Source organism: Homo sapiens, chromosome 5 (genome assembly GCF_000001405.40).
Source record: "Homo sapiens chromosome 5, GRCh38.p14 Primary Assembly".
Classification (NCBI taxonomy): domain Eukaryota; kingdom Metazoa; phylum Chordata; class Mammalia; order Primates; family Hominidae; genus Homo; species Homo sapiens.
In genome coordinates, this window is record NC_000005.10 from 178,242,728 (window position 1) to 178,264,498 (window position 21,771).

The window sequence follows — 21,771 nt, forward strand, 5'->3', positions numbered from 1 at the left end:
ATGGAAGTTATGTCACTGTCTGATGGGATGAGAAATGGTGATCTCTGTTCTGTGCCCTTGGCTCAACTTCCTGCACACCCATCTGTCCATTCATCTATCTGTCCGTCCACCCAACCAAGGTGGCTTAACATCCACTAGGAACCGGGCTGTTGGCTGGACACTGGGGACACAGAATTGGATTCATTGTGGCCGGGCATGGTGGCTCATGCCTGTAATCCCAGCACTTTGGGAGGTCGAGGTGGGCAGATCACCTGAGGTCAGGAGTTTGAGACCCACCCTGGCCAACATGGCGAAACCCTAAAAAACACAAAAATTAGCCGAGTATGGTGATGCGCGCCTGTAATCCCAGCTACTTGGGAGACTGAGGCAGGAGAATTGCCTGAACCTGAGAGGTGGAGGTTGCAGTGAGCCGAGATCGCACCACTGCACTCTGGCCTGGGCGACAGAGCGGGACTCTGTCTCAAAAAACAAACAAAGAGGCCAGGCATGGTGGCTCCCGCCTGTAATCCTAGCACTTTGGGAAGCCAAGGCAGGCAGATTGCTTGAGCTCAGGAGTTCAAGACCAGCCTGGGCAACACAGTGAAACCCCATCTCTCCTAAAATACAAAAAATTAGCCGTCCTAGCAGCGTGCACCTGTAGTCCCAGCTACTTGGGAGGTTGAGGCAGGAGAATCGCTTGAACCCGGGAGACAGAAGTTGCAGTGAGCCGAGATCATGCCACTGCACTCCAGCCTGGGTGGACAGAGTGAGACTCCATCTCCAAAAAAAAAAAAAAAAAGAAACAATTTTAAAAAGAGAATTGGATTCGACATGGTCCCTTGTTCACGTGTAACGGGGCAGGCAAGAGAGTGCTGATGACAGTCAATGCTCAGTGACAGAGGTGTGAAATAGGGGTGGTGGGATTCTGGAGGGAAGGGCTGTTCTATCACAGGTGGGGGTCAAGGGGAGTTTCTCAGCACGGTCCTCATTATAGTTGGGCCTTCTGGGGTTGAGGAGGAGCCTGGCATTTGCCAGGTAGAGCAGGTGGGCATGGCTTTGAGATGCCACCCTGAGAACCAGGCCTCCTGGAAGGCAGCTGTGGCCACATTCATGGTGGCATGGAGTCTCCTTAGCTCCACCCTCAACTGGGCCCAGAGCCTGCAGCTGGTTCAGCATTGTCCTCTCCCATCCCTTCCCATTGATGGAACCCAGCACCCCCGTCAGAAACCCAAGCTACAGCTCTTCCTTTCCCTCGTCCACAGTTGCTCTCCCAGGTAATGTTCTTTTTTTTGAGACGGAGTCTCACTCTGTTGCCCAGGCTGGAGCACAGTGGCACGATCTCAGCTCATTGCAAGCTCCGCCTCCTGGGCTCATGCCATCCTCCCGCCTCAGTCTCCTGAGTAGCTGGGACTACAGGCACCCGCCACCATGCCTGGCTAATTTTTTTTTTTTTTTTGTATATTTAGTAGAGACAGGGTTTCACCGTGTTAGCCAGGATGGTCTCTATCTCTTGACCTCGTGATCCACCCGCCTCGGCTTCCCAAAGTGCTGGGATTACAGGTGTGAGCCACCGTGCCTGGCCGGTAATGTTCTCTTTTTAAAGTCTAGGGTGGGCACCAGAGTCCTTGCAGCCCTGCATCTGGGCCTATGTCCCTCAAAATAGCTACCTGATTTTCCTGAGAACAACCTCCTTCTCATAACCCATTGATTCCACCCCAGTCCATGGTCTCACTAGTCAGGGCACTGCATTCCTATGGCTAAGTGACAGTTCAGCGTTGACCTAACTGGGACCAGGGAGAGCCCATGAAACTTCCTGTAGAACACTGGAGTTCTACTCTGGAGTCAAATTTTCTTTCTTCTTAGTTTGGGCCTGGCAGGATGCTGGTCTCGAGCTGCTGGCTTTACCTCACCACCACGTGGAACTTGATTTCCACAGGGAAAGCAGACAAGACAGGGTGAAAGGCTGAGTTGTGTTGACACAGTTGAGCCCTGGATCCATGTGTTGAACCTCCAGATTTTTCAGTTATGAGTAATTTTAAGCCAGTTTAAACTATGTTTTCTATGTATGCTACCAGAAGAGACTTGACATAATCAGCCTGGGCTAATACTTCCCTTCCTCTTCTTCTCAAATTACTGCTCTAGCTAAAGCCCTATTATCTGTCACCAGGATATTGCAACAGGCTCCTCACTGCTCTCTTCACTTCCTTGCTACAATGCATCATCCATCCATCCATCCATCCCTCCACTGCCATCATCATCCATCCATCCACTCATCATCTATCATCCATCCATCCATCCATCCCTCCACTGCCATCATCATCCATCCATCCACTCATCATCTATCATCCATCCATCCATCCACTCATCATCTATCATCCATCCATCCGTCCATCCATCCCTCCACTGCCATCATCATCCATCCATCCACTCATCATCTATCATCCATCCATCCGTCCATCCCTCCATCCCTCCACTGCCATCATCATCCATCCATTCACTCATCATCTATCATCCATCCATCCATCCATCCACCCACCCATCCACTCATCATCTATCATCCATCATCCATCCATCCATCCCTCCACTGCCATCATCATCCATCCATCCATCCATCCATCCATCCATCCATCCATCCATCATTCATCTATTATCCATCCATCCATCCATCCATCCATAGTGGATAGATAGATGAATGGATGGATGAGTCCATTCAATCCTCCATCCATTCATCCATCATTCTTCCATTATCCATCCACCCACCCATCCATCCATCATCCATTCATCATCCACCCACCCATCATCCACCCACCCATCATCCACTCATCCATCACCCATCCATCCATTCACCCATCCATCCATTCACCCATCCATCCATTCATTCATCCATCCATTCACCCATCCATCCACCCATCCATCCATTTATCCATCCATCCATCAATCCTGCATTATGCATTCATCCATCCATCGATTCATCCTCCATTGTCCATCCATCCTCCATCTACCAATGTATCCATCCATTTATCCATCCATCAACAATCCATTCATCTATCCACAAAGGACCTACTCTGGGTCGTGCACTGGACTTGGCAATGGGGACACAGGGGGAACCAGTCAGTTGCAGTCCCAGCCCTGGGGAAAGGGGTCACACTTGAGTAGCCAGATCAGGTTACTGCATGAGGGCAGAAGATACACACAAGAGGCACCCAATTACTCAAAGTGATGATAAGACACTTACATCTAGTCCTGGCTCCCCGGGTCTGCCCTGAGGAGAGACACAGAGTGGGTGAGAGGGGTTGGGGAGGGGTGCTGGGAGCACAGCTGCTGGGAAGTCCAGCCCTGTGGGTTGGCCACAGACATGGGGGCAAGGAGACCCACCAACCACGCAGGCATAGATGGAGGCCAGGACAGACCTGGCATCCACAGAGCCTGAACTCTGGCCCTGCGAAGTGCAGGGACCCAGTGAGGTACAGGGTTGGGGTCCCCGGGCTGAGCGCCACCATGACCAGGTGGCCACGGTTGGAGAGGGAGTTCCGAATGAGGCGGTTACCTTCTCTCCTTTGGTTCCTGGCAGCCCAATAAGGCCCGGTGGGCCAACTGGCCCCTGGATAGAAAAGGAATGAGTCAAGAGGCATGCTAGTGACAGGAATTAACACCTTTGGGACAAACAACGCTTGTGAGACTCACAGGCAGGCCGCTGGGGCCTCTCTCACCCGACGCACCCTTCTCTCCCTTTGCTCCATCCAAGCCCTGGAGGCAAAGGAGGGAAATCAGTCAAGGGGAAGGGGTTAGACAGACAGTAGGACAGGCAAGCTTGGAGACTGCAAGGGAGCTGGGATGTGGACAGAGGAACAGATCGAGGCTCCCCCAGGCCTGGCCCCAGCTTACTCCCTGGTGAGGGTGATCAGGAGGAGCTCTGGCCATGCGCATTGCGCCTTTTCCAGAACAGGCTCCCTCAGCCCCATGGAAGGTGATTACGGTCACACCCATTCCAAAGATGAGGAAAGCAGGTGCAGACGGGGGGCGGGGGGGGGGGGACAGGCCCAGCCACACAGCGGGAGGCAGCAGAGCTGGGTCCCCATCAGGCTTCTACGGCAAGCCTTGGACCCTGTCCTGATAGCAGCTGCCTCTTTGAAACATGAACTGTGGTGGCCTTAAGAGAAAGCAGAACCAGAAGCAGAGCACCTGGTGGGGCTGCAGGCTCGGGCCTGGGCTTCCACGATTCTCAGTCCCACATCTGGCCTCTGAGCTGGGGAAGCAGAGATTTGCTCACGCCAGGAGGGTGGTGTGACAAGGAGTGAGGCCAGGTGGCCTCCCCTTCTGTGTCTGCCTCCCTGGGGCAGGGCATGCAGGCAGGCCACACTCGAGGACTTAACGTAAGAGCAGGGAACACGCCATCATGTAATATACACCAAGCCCAAGACTTTGTGCTTAGACTGTGGCAGCTGAGAGACAGATGTGTGTGGGGCGGGCTGGGATGGGGAGAGGTGGGGACAGTGCAAGGAACTGACAGGCACAGACAAAGGAGAAGGGGACAAGCAGTGGAAACGGTGGTGGACCTGAGGAGGAGAGAGGGACAGACTGGGGTCCCGGGCAGAGGGAGAAAGTGGGAGAGGAGAGCCTCAAGGGTGGAGAGGGGGGCATTGGCCTCAACGACATCGGGGAGGTTATGCCCTGGGGACTTGGGACGTTCAGGCGCTGGGAAGACTCAGGGATGGGCCAGGGCGGAGCGTCAGGCCCTTTGCTTTGCCCATTGGCAAGGCTCTTGGAAACTGCCCAGACGGTGAGTCTGAGGCCAGTAGAGGGGTCTGTGCCCACTCACCTTGGGACCCTGGATTCCCTGGAGGCCCTGCAGGAGGAGGAAGCAGATAAGAAGGCTGGCTCCGGACCCTCTTGCAGTGGCCACTCACTGGCCCCTGGGGCCCTGTCCTGGGCTCTGCCCTCTGCCCATGTGCCCCTCCCTGAACGAAGAAGCCCGCTCTCTCCTGGGTCATGGCTCTGGGACCTAGCCCCCACCCCGCCTCTTGGTTTCCTGGCTGCTTCAAACCAAACCAAAGCAAACCGTCCTTACCATCGGGCCTGGGGGGCCAGGGGGGCCAGGGGGCCCTGGCTCCACTATGAGCTGAGCCTAGGGAGGGTGAGAGACAGGTTAGTCACCCACCGCCTGTCACCCTCACCTACCCGCACCCGAGCTCATCGCACACTGCTGGATCGAGAGTCTCCTTCCTGCCCCCCAGAGGGCAGAGTCTGGTGAGCAGGTGGCAGCTGGTCTGCGGAGCTTATAGTGAGCCGAGGTTGTGCCACTGCACTCCAGCCTGGGAGACATGGTGAGACTCTGTTCTCAGAGGGGTCTCGCTCCCCTTACTCTCCCTCCCCTACTGCCCTGGGTTTGCTCAGGCCAGGTGGCCTTTTTGTCCCAAGGCTCAGGGTCCCCACCCAGCCTGGACTGGGTGTTGGGGGAAGCCCTGACCCCCCCATACCCCCTTACCAGGCTCTCCTGTAGGCTGTCAGACGCCGACTCCCCCTTCTCCCCCTTGAGGCCGTCAGCGCCCTGCAGGACGGCAATGGCCTGTGAGTCCTTTGTGTCCAGCACCTGTATCACCACCCACGGTGCTTAGTGACCTCCCTTCCTTCCCCCATGTGGCTCCTGAGAGCAGTCATCAGTTAGCTGTTGCAACTGAAAAGTTTTCCCTACATCCATGTGCCACGCCCCGGGTGGTGGGCAGTGTGGGCTTTAGAAAGCACACGAGCAGCCGCACACATTGTTTTCCTGGGGTGCAGGGAGCAACCGGGGGCTGTGAAGCAAAGACCCCGGGGTCAAACCCCAGTGCCCCCTCTAGCCCAGTGACCATCAGGGATGGACACTGGAAGTGTCCCAGTGGTGGCGTAACAGCTGGTGGCTCTTCCAGTCGGGCCACAAAAGCAACGAAAATCATGAGGACAACAGTGGGCATTTGCTGTGTGCCAGCCACCACTGTCAGCCCAGCCACGCATGCCCTTGAGGGAGGGGAATGATCACCCCCACTTTGGAGGTGAGGAAACCGAGGCCCCAGGAGGTTAGGTTGCTCGCCCAGGGTTCCAGAGTCAGCCGGGACGGAGCTGGATGCAAACTTGGGCAGTTTAGGTCAGAGCACGTGGCATAACCACCTGGCCAACGCGCTCCCATGGCCACAGCTCCTGATTTTAGCTGCCATCTGAGGCAGGTGGAAGGCTTCTTCCAGACGAGGAAGTGGAGGCCGGGAGAGAGGAGGACAGCGCTGGCCCAGAGCCTAGAGTGTCCCCGGCCGGCTGGGCACTGAGACCGCAGGGGCTGTCAGGGTCACGCCCTGGCCTCCCCACAGCACGGGGGGCACACAGTCACCTCAGGGCTTCCACACAGGAGGCGTAATGTGTGGCCCAACCCAGCCACATACCGGGAGGCCGGACAAGCCCATCTCGCCTGCTTCCCCTTTGAGTCCTGCTGGCCCAGGCTCTCCTGGGTCTCCTTTCTGTCCTTTGGGGCCCTGAAAGCCATAAGCACAAGGGATGAGTGGGGCTCAGGAGGTCCCCTCCCTTCTCCCCCCAGCAGGTCCCCAGAGCTTAGTTCATGCTAGGGCCCCACTTTCTCTTTGTGGGTCCCCACCTCCAGCCACAGTGGCTGGGAGCCTCACCCGGATGCAGTGGGTGTGGGGCTAGGGCACGCCACTCCTGGCTCATTGCATCCGGGTGTGGGCACCGCAGGGCAGGGGCCGGGGCAGATGGGTGGATCATGTGAGCCTGGAGCTGCCCCTCTGGGGGCACTCATGGGGCCAGCTCTGTGCTCACATCTCAGAAGCTAGTGGTGGGACTCCCCACCCCCACAAACTCTTCCAGCCACCGAATCCCTCCATTCAACCAATTACATTATGTCCAGGATGAGACACACACTGCGGACCCAGTGGGAAAGACTCACCCTCGAATAGCAAGTGACCCCACGAATATGCTTACGTCTGTATAGGATAACACACACACACACACACACACACACACACACACTCTCTCTCTCTCTCTCTCTCTCTCTCTCTCTCTCGAATTGGGGCAATACCTACAATGCTCTTAGCCTTTGTGGCTTTTCACCACATGCCAGGCACTGCACTGAGTGTTCTCCATACACAGAGTTACTCAGCCCTGCCTGAGAGCAGGCAACTTGCCCAGGGCCGGAGGGCAGACCAGGGTTTGCACACAGGCAGCCTGGTGCCAAAATCCATGATTTTTGATTTTCTCACACATGGTGTTTCTCTAACTCTGTGCACACATGCACACGCACACACACACACACACACACACAGAGCCCAATACCAGGCACTGGCATCACCAAGGAAATGAAAGGCCCAGAGACCTTCTCTCCATCGATTCCTGGGGCACCGGGCAATCCAAGCTCGCCCTGGAAGGGAAGAGATGGCAAGAGGGGTTATGCCTTCCTTTCCTAAAGAGGTGTCAGCAGCCAGAGGGCCAGGACACACTGTGCACCCGGCCCAGGGTGGGTCTTTGCAGTTGGACCTCTAGCTGTGCCAGGACCCACCGCCTCCTCTGTTTCCTCAGCCCATCACGAGCAGATGTAGCCCATGGCTATCACCTGTAAGTTGTTATGTCACAGATTCGGGCGCTGAGGCTTGGAGGGTTAAGTGACTTGCTTCAGGTCACAGAGCCCAGGAACAACGATGCCGGGACCAGATCTGCCTGACTTCAAAGTTGTTGGCTCTTTCTCTTGAGATAAATGGGCAGGATGCAAACGAATGGTGCAGGCCACAGGGTGTGCAAGCTGTCCACCTGCCAGACTGGTGTGCTGTCACAGGGGCTGGGTTTTCAGTTCTTTATTTTTAGCTGGTGGATATTTATAAAACACTACCCCCAACAGCAGCTAAATATACATTTAATTTGTGTGCATATAAAACATTCAACAAGAAAGAACACTTTGACTCTAAAACAAGTTTTAATACATTAAAAAGATCAATATTGTATTAAAAAGAATATGTTTTGGCTGGGCATGGTGGTTCACACCTGTAATCCCAGCACTCTGGGAGGCTGAGGTGGGTGGATCACCTGAGGTCAGGAGTTTGAGACAGCCTGGCTAACATGGTGAAACCCCCCTCTACTAAAAATATAAAAATTAGCTGGGCTTGGTGGCACAGGCCTGTAATACCAGCTACTTGGGAGGCAGAGGCAGGAGAATTGCTTGAACCCGGGAGACAGGTTGCAGTGAGCTGAGATGGTGCCACTGCACTCCAGCCTGGGCAAAAGAGCAAGACTCCGTCTCAAAAAAAAAAAAAAAAAAAAAGAGTATGTTCTCTAATCGCAAGATAATTTTTTTTTTTTTTTGAGACAGAGTCTTGCTATGTCTCCCAGGCTAGAGTGCAGTGGCACAACCTCGACTCACTACAAGCTCCGCCTGCTGGTTTCAAACAATTCTTCTGCCTCAGCCTCCCAAGTAGCTGGGATTACAAGTGCGCACAACCACACCCAGTTGATTTTTGTATTTTTAGTAGAGACAGTGTTTCACCATATTGGCCAGGCTGGTCTTGAACTCCTGACCTTGTGATCCACCCGCCTCCACCTCCCAAAGTGCTGAGATTACAGGCGTGAGCCACCGTGCCCGGCCGCAAGATAATTAAATAAGAAATTAATAAAATATCTGGTCAGCTGGATACATTAAATATGAAAAAAACTAAAACAAAAAAGCAAGATACCTGGAAAAAAATCTCCAAGTATTTCTAAATCCCCAAGTATTCTCTAAATAATCCATGAATAAATCAAAAGAGAGCTTAGAAATTATGTTGAACTGAATAAAAATAAAATTCAACTTATCAAGGTTTGTAGGATGCAGCTAAAGCAGATATGCTTATAGGAAAATTTATAGCTTTAAAAAAAGTTTTAGATTCAGGGGGTACACGGGCAGGGTTGTCACATGGGATTGCACGATGCTGAGGTTTGGGCTTCTAATGATTCTGTCACCCAAGGGGTGAACATAGCACCTGATAGGTAGTTTTTCAACCCTTGTCCTCATGCAGCTATAAGACAAATGCTTGGGGGACCACATAGCTGCTCCTCCCTTTTGGAATCTCCAGTATTTATTATTCCCATCTTTGTGTCTGTGTGTACCCAATGTTTAGCTTCCACTTTTAAGTGAGAACATGCAGTATGTGGTTTTCTTTTCTTTTCTTTCTTTCTCTCTCTTTCATTTTCTTTTCTTTTTTTTTTTTTTTTATTTTGAGACAGAGTTTTGCTCTTGTTGCCCAGGCTGGAGTTCAGTGGCGCAATCTTGGCTCATTGCGACCTCTGCCTCCCAGGTTCAAGCGATTCTCCTGCCTCAGCCTCTCAAGTAGCTGGGATTACAGGCATGTGCCACCACGCCCGGCTAATTTTTTGTATTTTTAGTAGAGACAGAGTTTCACCATGTTGGCCAGGCTGGTCTCAAACTCCTGACCTCAGGTGATCCACCTGCCTCGGCCTCCCAAAGTGCTGGGATTTACAGGTGTGAGCCACCACGCCCAGCCCATTTTCTTTTCTGTATTAATTCACTTAGGATAATGGCCTCTGGCTGCATCCATGTAGCTGTAAAGGACGTGATTTCATTCCTTTTTATAGCTGCATGAATTTTCAGTTTAAATGTATGAATAAGGCTTCCCAGGGAAATCTCCCAGAGTAGATCGAGCCCAGGAAGAAGGCACTCAGCCTGGGAGCCCAGGCCCGTTCTCTGAGCTCCCGGAAGCCAGGCCAGGACACCCGGAGGGAAGTGGAACAGGGTCACAGAGCAGACAGGAAGAGGGAGGTGGGCCCTGGAGACAAATGCTTGGGGGACCACATAGCTGCATCTGCACTGACCTTGGCTCCAGGGATCCCTGGTGGCCCTGGGGGCCCCTGTGGTCCGGGAGGCCCCTGTGTGTGAGAGTGAAGCCGGTCAGTGTCATGGGTTAGGCAGGGCCTCCCTTCGCTACCCATCCAGCTCCCCACCTGGAATCAAGTCCCCGTCCAGCTGAGCAGAGCAGGGGCAGGGTCCTTGGGGACTGCTTCTTCCCCAGTCAGGTCAGGCCACACTGTGCAAGGCTTTATCTGGCCTCCCAGGCTTGGGGGAGGCCAGGAGGTGACACCCAGCATTTGACAAGACACCAGTGTCTGCTGCCATGGACGGCCCTCTGCCCCAATCCAGATTTCTTCACGATGTTCCCCTGCTCAAGATCTTGCTTTGGCTCCCTATTGCCTCTCAAAGCAAGCTTAAATCCCCTGCTGGCATTCAAGGCCTGCCAAGAATGACATCCCCAATGGTGGCCCAGCACCACCGTCTCTGACTGTCCTGTGAGCTCTCTGACCTTCTGGCTCTGCTGCCTGCCATCTGCTGGGCCTAGGGAGTTCCTTAGTCTCGCAGGTAGGGGTGGGGTCTCCAGTGTTTCCAGGTCCGACCCCACTCTCAAGCTCCTGTCCTGATCCAGGCTTTCTGCAGGCTACCTGCCACCAGGGCCCAGCTGGCCCCCTGCTCAGCCTCCACACTCCTCCCCTCCCTTCTGAAAAACTGCACCCTGCCCAGCCCCTGCCCCACCCCTGCCCCGGAAGCTCTAGGTCTCTCCCCTCCCACCTCCCTATCCTGTGCCCTTCTTGTTGGTGTCCCATTGAGATGTCCCTGGCCTCCATCTTATCTACCCTCCCCCAGGCCCAGGCCCAGGACCTCCCTGCCTGGGGTCCCCCTGCTCCCTGCTCCAACACCTGCTTTCATTCACTGTCCATATCATTCCCTAGCTAGCCTTCCCCCAATATGTTTTTATTTTTTATTTTTTTTTTATTTTTGAGATGGAGTCTCCCTCTGTTGCCCAGCCTGGAGTGCAGAGGTGCGATCTCAGTTCACCACAACCTCTGCCTCCCGGGTTCAAGTGATTCTCCTGCCTCAGCCTCCCGAGTAGCTGAGACTACAGGCGCGCACCACCATGCCCGGCTAATTTTTGTATTTTTAGGAGAGACGCGGTTTCACTATGTTGGCCATGCTGGTCTCGAACTCCTCACCTCGTGATCCACCTGCCTCGGGCTCCCAAAGTGCTGGGATCACAGGCGGGAGCCGCCGCGCCCGGCCGTGTTTTTATTTTTTTAACATCATGCCCTGCATGGACTATGGCTGCCCGCTGCCCATCAAACTGAGTCGGCATCTCAGTCTGGCATCCAAAGTCCATCTCTGGCTGGGCGTGGTGGCTCACGCCTATAATCCCAGCACTTTGGGAGGCTGAGGTGGCAGGATCACTTGAGGTCAGGAGTTTGAGACCAGCCCGGCCAACATGGTGAAACCCCGTCTCTACTAAAAATATAAAAATTAGCCAGGTGTGGTGGCGCATGCCTGTAGTCCCAGCTACTTGGGAGGCTGAGGCAGGAGAATTGCTTGAACCTGGGAGGAGGAGGTTGCAGTGAGCCGAGATCACACCCAGCCTGGGCGACAAGAGTGAATCTCCATCTCAAAAACAAAAACAAAACGAAGTCCATCTCCCAACTCCCTGCACTCACAGGGCTTCTCCCACAAGGCTAGGTCAGCCTGGGACACATCATGCATGTGCCTGCCGTCTGGGCCATGCCACGCCACACCACGCCACGCCACGCCACACCATGCATGCCTGGGGGTGGGTGCCACAGTTACTGCCAACTTGTACTTCCCCAAAGCCTGTGGGAGATAACTGGAAATGATGTTCAGGTGGGGCCAGGGCCCCCTTCCCAGTCTGGTCTCTGGTGACCACTCCTTCCTCACCCACTTTCCTTCTGGGGTACCCATGAGCTGCTGGCACCCAGTGCCTCTCTCCACTGGTGGTAAGTCCCAAGTTTACCAGCGACTGGGCTCGGAGGTCACATATCTCCCAAGGCTCTGGGGGCAGAGCTTGCCACTCTCATCCTCCCCATGGCATCATTAGGAGACCTAGCCCTCCAGCCAGTGTCCTCTGGGAAGGTCCCAGGAGACACCGGTGGGAACAGACCCCAGGAAATACTCTGCCTCCTGCCCCTGAGTGGGGAGCTTCCCTTTTTGACTTGGCCTCTAGGGAGCTCGGGGCCACGTGGGCCACATTCACAGGGGCTCTCTGAGGCGGGTCTCAACATAGCCCTGATTTCCACATTGGGTGCCTAGTAACAGCCGGGGTCTTTGTGCTAAGCTGCCTCTGGTCCCTTGTGTAAAAAAGTGCAGGATTAATCACAAAGGGAGTGATTATTCCCTAAGGAAAAATCGTATCTAAGGCACATCCTGGTCCCACCAGGAACACTACCTTGAGGGCATCCAAGATCCTGCCATCATAGTCGATCACCACTGTGTCTCCCTGCTCGCCCTTGAGGCCTGGGGCACCCTGAGGCAGGAAGAAGAGTAAGAATTTCAGGGAAGAGCTACACTGAGTTGGAGGTGAAGTGGCAGCTGTCCCTGCATCACATCCAGAGAGAAAGCAATGGAAGAGCCTCGTCACCCAGGCTGCACGCATGCCCCTCCCCAGGGTGGATGGAGGGAACGGGAGGCAGGCCCTGTGGCCAGCTGAGAGACCTGTTTCCACCTGGTCTGAGGGGCGGCTGTAATTGCCCTCACGTGGGCATTCAGGCCTGACCCCTGAGTTCTCGGGGGCAAATGGAAAGCCTGATTTTGATGTGACGCTCTTCAGATTTTTCAATGTTGGCAACAAACAGAAAAGCCCCAAACCCTCCAAAACACAAAGACATGAGCAGGCTGGATCTGGCCCCCGTGCCTCCATTTCCCAGCCTCTGGGAGCGGCTGCACACGCCAAGCACCCACACGCCTATTCCCGCCTGGTTACAGGTGCATGTCAGCATGCCCATGTCCATATGCTGCACACTCATTGTGCACACTCACACGTGCACGCATGGCTGCTGGCCAGCCCTTCCCTTGTGAACCTCACTTCCCCACCCAGGCTGCTCTTTGCTTGGGGTACAGTGAAGGCTGGGGAGCACTTTGGTCCAGACCCGAGCCTATCCCTTGTGCAGGCTGGAGACCCTTGCTTGGGCCTCATTTGCCAGCCCTCCCCCGTCCCCAGTCACAGCCTGCCCAGAACTGCCTGGCTCACTGGCTGCCTAATCCAACCCCCTCCCGCTCCCCACCACCTGCACAGCCAGGCGGGGGCTCAGATCCATTTTTTTTGGAGGAAGAAGCCAGCCTCTGGGAGCATGAGGAGACAGAGCCGAGGCCAGGATCCCGGACGTCACCCTAAAGGTAAGGTATGTTGATAGGGGCTGGTCACAAAAGATCTGGGGCAGGCTGGGGTGCTGTGCTCCTGGTGGCAGGGACAAACCTCCCTGTGGGGTGGGGAAAAGGCAAGGCCTGGCCCACTGTGGCAGGATCAGGCATACGACAAACAGAGGACCTGTGTCTGAATACATAAAGAAAGGAATTTAGGTGGACATGCGCTTGAGGGGACCGAGAGAGATCTGGCTTCATAATAGCAGGTCAGGACTCTTATTTTTGTACCTCCATATTTGAACATTTTACCCCAAAAAAGCATGTACTCTGGATTTTCAAAAATCACGAATAAATGAGTTTAAAAAGTAAAATACTCCCAGTTCCTGTAGCTCCACTGCTCCTCTGGGGTCTCTGTGGGGACAGGGGCTTCTGAAGCTATGGGGCCCCTAGATCTCATCCCTGAGGCCTCGCCTGAGGGGCGGCAGCTTACCCGGGGCCCTGCAGCTCCATCCGTGCCTCGGTGGCCAGGCTCCCCCTGTGGAGACATGCATTTGCAGCCAGAGGTGCAGCTGTGAAGCCAAAACACACCTCCCACGACCCTGCCCCCAGTCCCCTCTTCCCAGGAGGGCCCAGGGCCCGAGTGCTGGAACCCTAATAGCCAAATGTATGAGAACAGCACTCCAGGAACGGGGCTCCTCCAGGGGCCTGCGAGACCCTCCTCTGACATCACTTCGTATAGAGATGGGGACGCTGGTGTCCAGGAGCCTGAGGCTGCATGGTGAGTTGGCCACAAAGCTGGGCACCAGTGGAGGCCTTGCCACTCACCCAGATTCACCACCGCTGCCCCCACACCAGCTTCTGAGAGTGCTGAGGGAGACCCCTGGGTCAGGCCCTCCTGGGACTTAAAAGGGCAAATGAGAGCTGAAACCACATCTCCCACTCCCGACTGGGTGGAGGTCTGAGCGGGGCCCGCAGGCGCCAGAGCAGAGAGCTCTCATGTCACCTTCGGTCCTGGGGCACCGTCCACACCGTTCTCTCCCCGAGGCCCCATGCTCCCTGGCTCGCCCTGAAACAGACACAGCTGCAGTGAGAGCAAGTGTGAGACGGCACGTGGCGGGTGCCTTGGAGGGGGGCGTGCCTCGGGGTTGCCTGAAGCCTCGCGATTAGGCCTCCTGGCAAATTGTTACTGAGTCCATGGGGGGTGTGGGCGGATGGACCTCAGGCCTCTCCCTAGCCCAGGGGACTCAGGACCACGGCCGCCACCTTCTGGTGTGGGCCTTGGCACTTACTTGGGGCAGCGCAGGGGCTCAAGGGACATTTTGGAGACTGGCTGGCCAGGATTTGGTGGCTGTTGCGAGGGGTTGGGGGAGCAAGGCATGAGGATGACACCCAGTTCCTGGCTTGGGGACAGGGCAGAGAGTGAGGCCCCCTAAGATGGAAACAAGAGGGCTTGAGGGAGTGAGGGAGGCACATGGCCCGGGTGAGACGCTGGGCCTGTTGTGTGGTGGGGCCGCGGCCTTCCTCTGCCTCTCTCCGGCCTGCGCTGGGCACTGGCCTAGGAACCCGTGGTGCCAAAGGTCCAGGGTAGGGACTTCACCAGGTAGATGGGAACCATGGGAGGTGGGGGCAGGGGGCCACGAGAGGAGGGGCAGATACTCACCTTGGGCCCTGGTGGTCCAGGCTGGCTTGGTGTCCCATCGTCGCCCTGAGGAGAGGACACCTGGGGCTTGCCGGTCAGACCCTCGGGTGGCCAGTGGGCCCCTCCCTCCTCTGGACTTCCCAGCACACCAGTCTGCTCCTGGCATCTGCACTGGCACATGGTACCAGGCAGCTCCTCCCCACCCTCCTTGCCCCTCCAGGGCAGGTGTGGGGTCAGACCCATCTCTGTGTGTCCCCTGTTCCCACCAGCCCAGGGCTGGCATTTGCAGAAAGAACGGATGGGCAGGTGAATGAGGGTACATTCATCCATTCATTCCCCCTGTGGGCCAGGCAGCTGAGGTCCCTGCTCAGGTGGGGTCAGAGGAGGCCAAGGAAAATATTCAAATAAATACGAGGTTGGCTGGCACTGTGGCTCACGCCTTAATCCCAGCACTCTGGTAGGTCAAGGCGGGAAGACTGCTTGAGCCCAGGAGTTTGTGGCTGTAGTGCCCCATGATGGCACCTGTGAACAGCCACTGCACTCCAGCCTGGGCAACAGGGCAAGACTCCATCTCTACAAAAACCAGAAAATAAAAAATTAGCCGGGCATGGTGGCACATGCCTGTAGTCCCAGCTATTTGAGAGGCTGAGGTGGGAGAACTGCCTGAGGCTGCAGGGAGCTGTGATCATGCCACTGCATCACAGCTTGGGTGACAGAGTGAGATCCTGTCTTAAAATATATATATATATATATATATATATACACATGCAAATCAATTCTAGGCACCATGTCAGGAAGTGGAGAAGAGAAGAGGATGGCCTGGTGGTGAGGGACTGCAGGGAGGGCTTGTTTCAGCAGGTGGCCAGGGAAGGTCTCCTGGAAGATGGGAGAGGTTTTTTTTTTTTTTTTTTTGTAAGGTGAGTCTCACTCTGTCGCCCAGGTTGGAGTGCAGTGGCACAATCTCGGCTCACTGTGAGCTCTGCCTCCGGGTTCACGCCATTCTCCTGTCTCAGCATCCCAAGTAGCTGGGACTACAGGCGCCCGCCACCACGCCCGGCTAATTTTTTGTATTTTTAGTAGAGATGGGGTTTCACCGCGTTAGCCAGGATGGTCTCTATCTCCTGACCTCGTGATCAGCCTGCCTCGGCCTCCCAGAGTGCTGGGATTACAGGCGTCAGCCACCGCTCTGGGTCTGGTTTTTTTTGGTTTTTGAGACAAGGTCTCGCGCTGTTATCCAGGCTGGAGTGCAGTGGCACAATCATAGCTTACTACAGCCTCAACCTCCTGGGCTCAAGCGATCCTCCCACCTCAGCCTTGGAAGTAGCTGGGACTACAGATGCATGCCACTGCACCTGGCTAATATTTTTGATTTTTAGTAGAGATGAGGTCTTGGTGTATTGTCCAGGGTGGTCTTTTTTTTTTTTTTTTTTTGAGACGAGTCTCACTCTGTCGCCCAGCAGGTTGGAGTGCAGTGGCGCAATCTCAGCTCACTGCAACCTTCGCTTCCTGGGTTCAAGTGATTCTCCAGCCTCAGCCTCCAGAGTAGCTGGGATTATAGGTGCCTGTGACCACGCCTGGCTAATTTATTTTTGGATTTTTAGGAGAGATGGGGTTTCATCATGTTGGCCAGGCTGGTCTTGAACTCCTGATCTCAAGTGATCCTTCTGTCTTGGCCCCCTAAAGTGCTGGGATTGCAGGCATGAGCCAGTGTGCCTGCTGGCCTTGGAGGAGGGTTTTGCTGAGACCTGAATGAGGTGAAGGAGGAGGCTGGCCCAGGAGAAGAGGCCGGGGAGGATAATGCTCATTCAGTGTTTTCAAGCTTGAGCTCACATCAGTGGCACCAGGGGCTGGTCAAACAAACTCTGGCCCCATCCCAGAGTCTCTGATTCAGTGGGTCTGGTGGGCCCCAGGACCACACTTTGAGAACTAGTGCCCCCCAGCCCTGAAGTGGGCAGGAATTTCATGTGTTCGAGGAAGGGAAAGAATGAGTGAGTGAATAAATGAATGAATGAAATGAATTCTGGCCTCAGGGAGAGCGAGGACAGGGCAGCCACCTGCAGTGAGGGCTCAGGGCTGGTGGAGAGAAGGCCGCCTTCCCTGTGGGTTGGCTCCCAGCCCATCCCGTCCCCATCCCCATCCCCATTCCGTCCCAGCCCCTGCCCTTCTCTCCAGCCACTTCCCAACACTGACCCGGAAGCTCCTCCATTGGCCCCTCTCACCTTCTTTCCAGGTACTCCAGGCTCACCCTGGGGGAGGCAATGGGGGGTTCAAGAGCAAGGTCAAAACCATAGGAGAGTGGCCCGGACCCCGGACCTCTTGTTCCTCGGGTAGAAGTGGCACTGATGACCCGTGCCCAGGGCCAGCCCAGAGACCCCTGAATGCTTCAGAGAGCTGCGGCGGACAGTCTTGAATTCCACTTCTGAGCCACTCACTCCCAAGCTCAATGACCCTGGGCAAGGCACTGTTCTTGAAAGTGGAGAGGTGACTCCTGCCGTCTCAGAGGGTTTTGGAGGATGAGGCGCTGGCTAAGCAAGCTCTTTCCCATCCTTCCTCCTCAGGCCAGAGGCTCCGTCTCCGTCAGCGAGGACCAGAGCCCGCCTCCCCACCCACACCCTCCCCAAAGAGGGCGAAAATGAAAGAGCTGGCATCTGCAGAGGCTGGACAAGCTAACATGGTGGGAAACCACATCCACGTGAAAACCTGCACATGGACGCTGACATCAGCTTTACTCAAAACTGCCAAAACCTGGAAGCAGCCAACATGTCCTTCAGTCGGTGAGTGGGTAAATAAACTGTGGCTTATCATTCAATAAATAATAAACCCAGACATGGACTATCATTCAGTGCTAGAAAGGAATGAGCTGTCAAGCCATGAAAAGACATGGATGAAAGGTCAATGTGTATTACTAAGTGAAAGGAGCCAATCTGAAAAGGCCACACACTGTCTGATTCCAACTAGATGACACTCTGGGAAAGGCAAAACTATGGAGACAGTGAAAAGAGATCAGTGGTGGCCGGGCACGGTGGCTCATGCCTGTAATCCTAGCACTTTGGGAGGCTGAGGTGGGTGGATCACCTGAGGTCAGAAGTTCGAGGCCAGCCTGACCAACATGGTGAAACCCCATCTCTACTAAAAATACAAAATTAGCCAGGTGTGGTGGCGCACGCCTGTAATCCCAGGTACTTGAGAGGCTGAAGCAGAAGAATCACTTGAAACCAGGAGGCAGAGGTTGCAGTGGGCTGAGATTGTGCCATTGCACTCCAGCCTGGGCGACAAGAGCAAGACTCCATCTCAAAAAAAAAGATAAAAGATCAGTGGTGTCAGGGGCTAGGGAGAACGAGGGATGAACAGGCGGAGAACAGAGCATGTTTAGGGCAGGGTAAATACTCCATGACACCACAGTGGTGGATACTTGTCAACACACACTTGTCCGAATCCAGAGTGTACCACAGCAAGAGTGAACCCTAATGTAAACGACGGCATCTGGGTGATGGTGGTCTGTCCACACAGGTGGGTCATCTGTAGCAAGTGGGGGATGTCCACAGCGGGGGAGGGGGATATGGAAATTCTGTACTTTCTGTTTAGTTTTGTTGTGAAACAAAAACTGTTCTAAAAATAAAATCTATTTGGGCCAGGTACAGTGGCTTACACCTGTAATCCCAGCACTTTGGGAGGCTGAGGTGGGAGGATAACCTGAGGTCAGGAGTTCGAGACTAGCCTGGCCAACATGGTGAAACCCCATTTCTCCTAAAAATACAAAAAATTAGCTGGGCATGGTGGCACACACCTGTTGTCCCAGCTACTCAGGAGGCTGAGGCAGGAGAATTGTTTGAACCCAGGAGGTGGAGGCTGCAGTGAGCTGTGATCGTGCCACTGCATTCCAGCCTAGGCGACAGTGAGACTCTGCCTCAAAAGAATAGAAAATTAAAAAAAAAAAGGAAAATCTATTTGAAACCAAAAGGCTAATGTGTTTTATGATTCAACCCTCGCAACTCAGTGTGAAAAAGGCAGGAAAGGTTTACTGTGCCTCCATTTAACAGATGACTAAACTGAGGCCCAGAGAGATGCAGTAACTTGCCCATGGTCCAGGAATTTGATCTCCTGACCCTGCTGCCTTGGCTTCACTAGGGGTGGGGGGAAGAGACAGGAAGTGGAGGTGGTGGTGGGGGAGTCCATCCCACCAGATCTGGGGAGGGGCATGGGGAATAAGGAGTACTCACCTTGGGCCCTGGGGGTCCCTTTGGGCCCTGGAACAAGAGAAGAGAAGGTGTTAAATGTCATACTGGAGGCTGCTCCTGGGCCTGTCCTTCTTAGCATCCTGGCTTTGTAAAAGGTGACACCAATCCCAGAGAGCAGGAGGCTGGGCTGCCGTCAGAAGCAGGCTGGAGCTGCCCACCCTGGGCCTGACTCCTCAAGCCTGGGACAGCTTCTGCATTAGGGCTCAGGTGGTGGCAAGTGGACCGCAGCCTCCGCACAGGAATGTGGAGCTACTGGAATCCCCCTGGCTGGTGCCTCACCCAGCCATTTCCCCAGGGTGGCTGGAGGGGCAGGTGCACAGGGGTCCACACACATGCAGACACGTACATGCAGAGGCGCGCGCACACACATAAACATGTGCGCGTGACCCTGCTGTCGGCGTGTGTGGGAAAGGGGCTTCCAGGTCTGGGAACCATGATCCTAGCAGCCCAGGCCTCTGGAATGCCCTGGATACTGACCATCTCGCCGTCTTGTCCGGGCTCTCCTTTGGGGCCCTGCGGAAGTGTGAGGGGACAGCAGTGAAGGATGCAGGATGTCACATTGAACTGAGCCCAAATCTCAGGCCAGACCCCGGGCTGGGGCTCTAAGTACATTATCTTATCTCATTCTCGCCAAACCTGAAGAGCGAGTATCACTGTCCCCACTCCACAGATGAGAATGTTAGGCTGGGGAAGCCACTGGCCCGGTGTGACAAGTAATGGATGAGCCAACTGAGCAGCTGTCCTGGGGGAATCTGGCAGCAGTTTGGTGGGGATCCATTTGACTGGGGGGGGACCCTGGTGGCAGTCTGGTGGTGGCATGGGCTCCACAATGAAGGGAAGGACAGGCTGGGGATTCTGGGTTAGGGAAAGGGGTAGTAGGATGGGGCCTGGCCTCTAGACTTTGGAGACCCTGGGAGGAAAGCTGAGGCTGAGATACTATTGGGGAGCATGAGGGGAGGGGCTGATAAAGGTCTGCAGAGACAGTGTCCCCAGAAGGGTCTCAGGCTCAGGGTTGAGTCAGGATTGGGACTGGGATTGCAACTAAGGTCAGCTTAGGGTCTCTGGGTCTGTTTGAAGTTAGAGTTGGGTTGGGAGTCAGGGTCAGAGTCTGTAAGGTTCAGAGTTAGGGTCTGAATTGGGGGCGTAGACCAGGATTTGGGAATGAGTTAGAGGTCAAGGTCTTGATTGGGATCAGAGACCCAGTTAGTGTTAGATTTAAGGTTCGAATGGGATTAAGGGTCTGGGTTGAAGTTAGGGTTGGGTTTGGGTCTGGGGTCAGGGTCAGGATCTGAATTGGGGCTGGATCTTGGTTGGAGTTAAGTTTGGGCCCAGGTTCAGTGTCTGGATTAGGGTTAAGGATAGTGTGGGGTCTGCACTAGAGATGGGGATGGGGATGGGGCTGGCTCTGGAATCAGGATTTGGGGTTTTGGTCAAGTCCTGCGTGGCCCAACTCCATGCCCTCTCTTACCGCTGGGCCTTGTGCTCCCCTGGGGCCATCTTTCCCAGTGTCGCCAGGAGGGCCCCGGGCCCCAGGAGGTCCAGGGGGCCCCGGAGGCCCAGCAGCTCCATCTTGTCCTTGGTCTCCCTGAAAGAGATGGGGCTTGGCATGACTCTGAGGGGGAGGGGGTCCAGCCTCCAGAGAGAGGCTCCCTCAGATGGGCAGCCCCACGCCATCCCCTTCCCCAGCCCTTGGGCAGGCTCAAAGGGGAGGGCTTTGTTATTGGGCCTCTTGCCACTTATTGGGAGCTGCATGAAGGAACAGGTCCCCATACCTTGGTGTAAGAGGCCCTACAGGACCCTTTACATGCCAAGGAATGTGCCAGCTCTCCAGCGCCTGAAGCCCAGATCCAGTGTTTAGGAGAGAGATGGCACACGCTGCATGTGGGAGACAGCACGTGTGTCCAGCTGCCCCCTCTTCTTTCTAGAACGGGGTCTGAGTGTCTCCTGAAGGACCTTCCTGGTTGGTCAACTCCCACTTCATTTAAGTATGGAGGGGCACTCTTGGGCATTTATCCTTGTTCACAGCTGCTTTATTAGTAACAGCCCCAAACTGGAAACTAATCCGAAAGTCCTTTGGTAGGTGGAAGGTTAAGGAGCTGGGGTACATCCACATCATGGAACACAACTCAGCAATCAACCCAAAGGAACAGGGCACGACACATGCAACACCTCAGATGCATCTCAGGAGAATTATGCTAAGTGGAAAAAGTCCATCTCCAAAGCTTAATACTGTGTGGCTGTATCTACGTAACACTCTTGAAATGGCAACATTGAAGAGATGGAGAGCCCATAATGGTTGCCAGGCGTTAGGGATGGGGGGATGAAGGTGATTGTAACTACAAAAGAACAGCATGAGGGACCTTTGTGGGCTTACACAAATCGACGGGTGTGTTAAAATTGCACAGAACACACAAACGAGTGTGTGTACAGGTGGGGGCATCTGAATAAGGTTGGTGGATTGTATCATTGTCAATTTCCTGTTGTGAGACTGTACTACAGAGATGCAAGATGTCACCATTGGGGGAGACTGGATGAAGGGTACACAGGTGTTATTCACTACAATTACATGTAAATCTACAATTATCTCAAAATAAAAGTAAAAAAAAAAAAAAGGATGATGAAGGGCCACATGGTTTCTCTCATGCAGCAGTAAATCCCCAACTTTAGAACCTGATGTTAGTACTGGGGTCAGACCTCAGGCAGCCGGAGCCCCACCTCATGGCCCAACCCGAGAGGAAGGGAGATCACTGTGACTGGCA

At 54.7% G+C, this 21,771-nt stretch overlaps 1 protein-coding gene across 11 annotated transcripts in view, besides 3 other annotated features; it reads right to left on the bottom strand.

Moving 5' to 3' along the window:
• COL23A1 (collagen type XXIII alpha 1 chain) overlaps positions 1-21,771 on the bottom strand; it is a 352,776-nt gene that overhangs the window by 5,110 nt on the left and 325,895 nt on the right. For 7 of the 11 annotated variants that reach the window (XM_011534691.3, XM_011534690.3, XM_011534688.3 and 4 more), the window contains 17 exons: positions 20,481-20,597; positions 19,490-19,525; positions 18,995-19,021; positions 16,994-17,020; positions 14,796-14,840; positions 14,139-14,201; positions 13,626-13,670; positions 12,222-12,299; positions 9,817-9,870; positions 7,334-7,378; positions 6,390-6,479; positions 5,465-5,527; positions 5,048-5,104; positions 4,799-4,825; positions 3,664-3,726; positions 3,527-3,580; positions 3,215-3,241 (listed from right to left, as the gene is read on the bottom strand). In XM_011534691.3, coding sequence (XP_011532993.1) covers positions 3,215-3,241; positions 3,527-3,580; positions 3,664-3,726; positions 4,799-4,825; positions 5,048-5,104; positions 5,465-5,527; positions 6,390-6,479; positions 7,334-7,378; positions 9,817-9,870; positions 12,222-12,299; positions 13,626-13,670; positions 14,139-14,201; positions 14,796-14,840; positions 16,994-17,020; positions 18,995-19,021; positions 19,490-19,525; positions 20,481-20,597 — 918 coding nt within the window. Of the gene's footprint in view, positions 1-3,214; positions 3,242-3,526; positions 3,581-3,663; positions 3,727-4,798; positions 4,826-5,047; positions 5,105-5,464; positions 5,528-6,389; positions 6,480-7,333; positions 7,379-9,816; positions 9,871-12,221; positions 12,300-13,625; positions 13,671-14,138; positions 14,202-14,337; positions 14,565-14,795; positions 14,841-16,993; positions 17,021-18,994; positions 19,022-19,489; positions 19,526-20,480; positions 20,598-21,771 lie in introns of those variants that run through there. The other 4 variants (XM_047417869.1, XM_006714936.4, XM_006714935.4 and 1 more) reach the window with 3 other exon arrangements.
• Positions 3,278-3,827: an enhancer, noted in NCBI's record as "H3K4me1 hESC enhancer chr5:177673006-177673555 (GRCh37/hg19 assembly coordinates)". NCBI's record gives its function as "activates a minimal SCP1, AML or CMV promoter by ChIP-STARR-seq in primed H9 embryonic stem cells {active_cell/tissue: H9 hESC(primed)}" and the evidence as "EXISTENCE:reporter gene assay evidence [ECO:0000049][PMID:30033119]".
• Positions 5,213-5,262: a silencer, noted in NCBI's record as "silent region_16720". NCBI's record gives its function as "represses an Ori minimal core promoter by ATAC-STARR-seq in GM12878 lymphoblastoid cells {active_cell/tissue: GM12878}" and the evidence as "EXISTENCE:reporter gene assay evidence [ECO:0000049][PMID:35858748]".
• Positions 13,460-13,650: a silencer, noted in NCBI's record as "fragment chr5:177683188-177683378 (GRCh37/hg19 assembly coordinates)". NCBI's record gives its function as "represses an EF-1alpha promoter that drives an FKBP-Casp9 reporter gene in an ReSE screen in K562 erythroleukemia cells {active_cell/tissue: K562}" and the evidence as "EXISTENCE:reporter gene assay evidence [ECO:0000049][PMID:32094911]".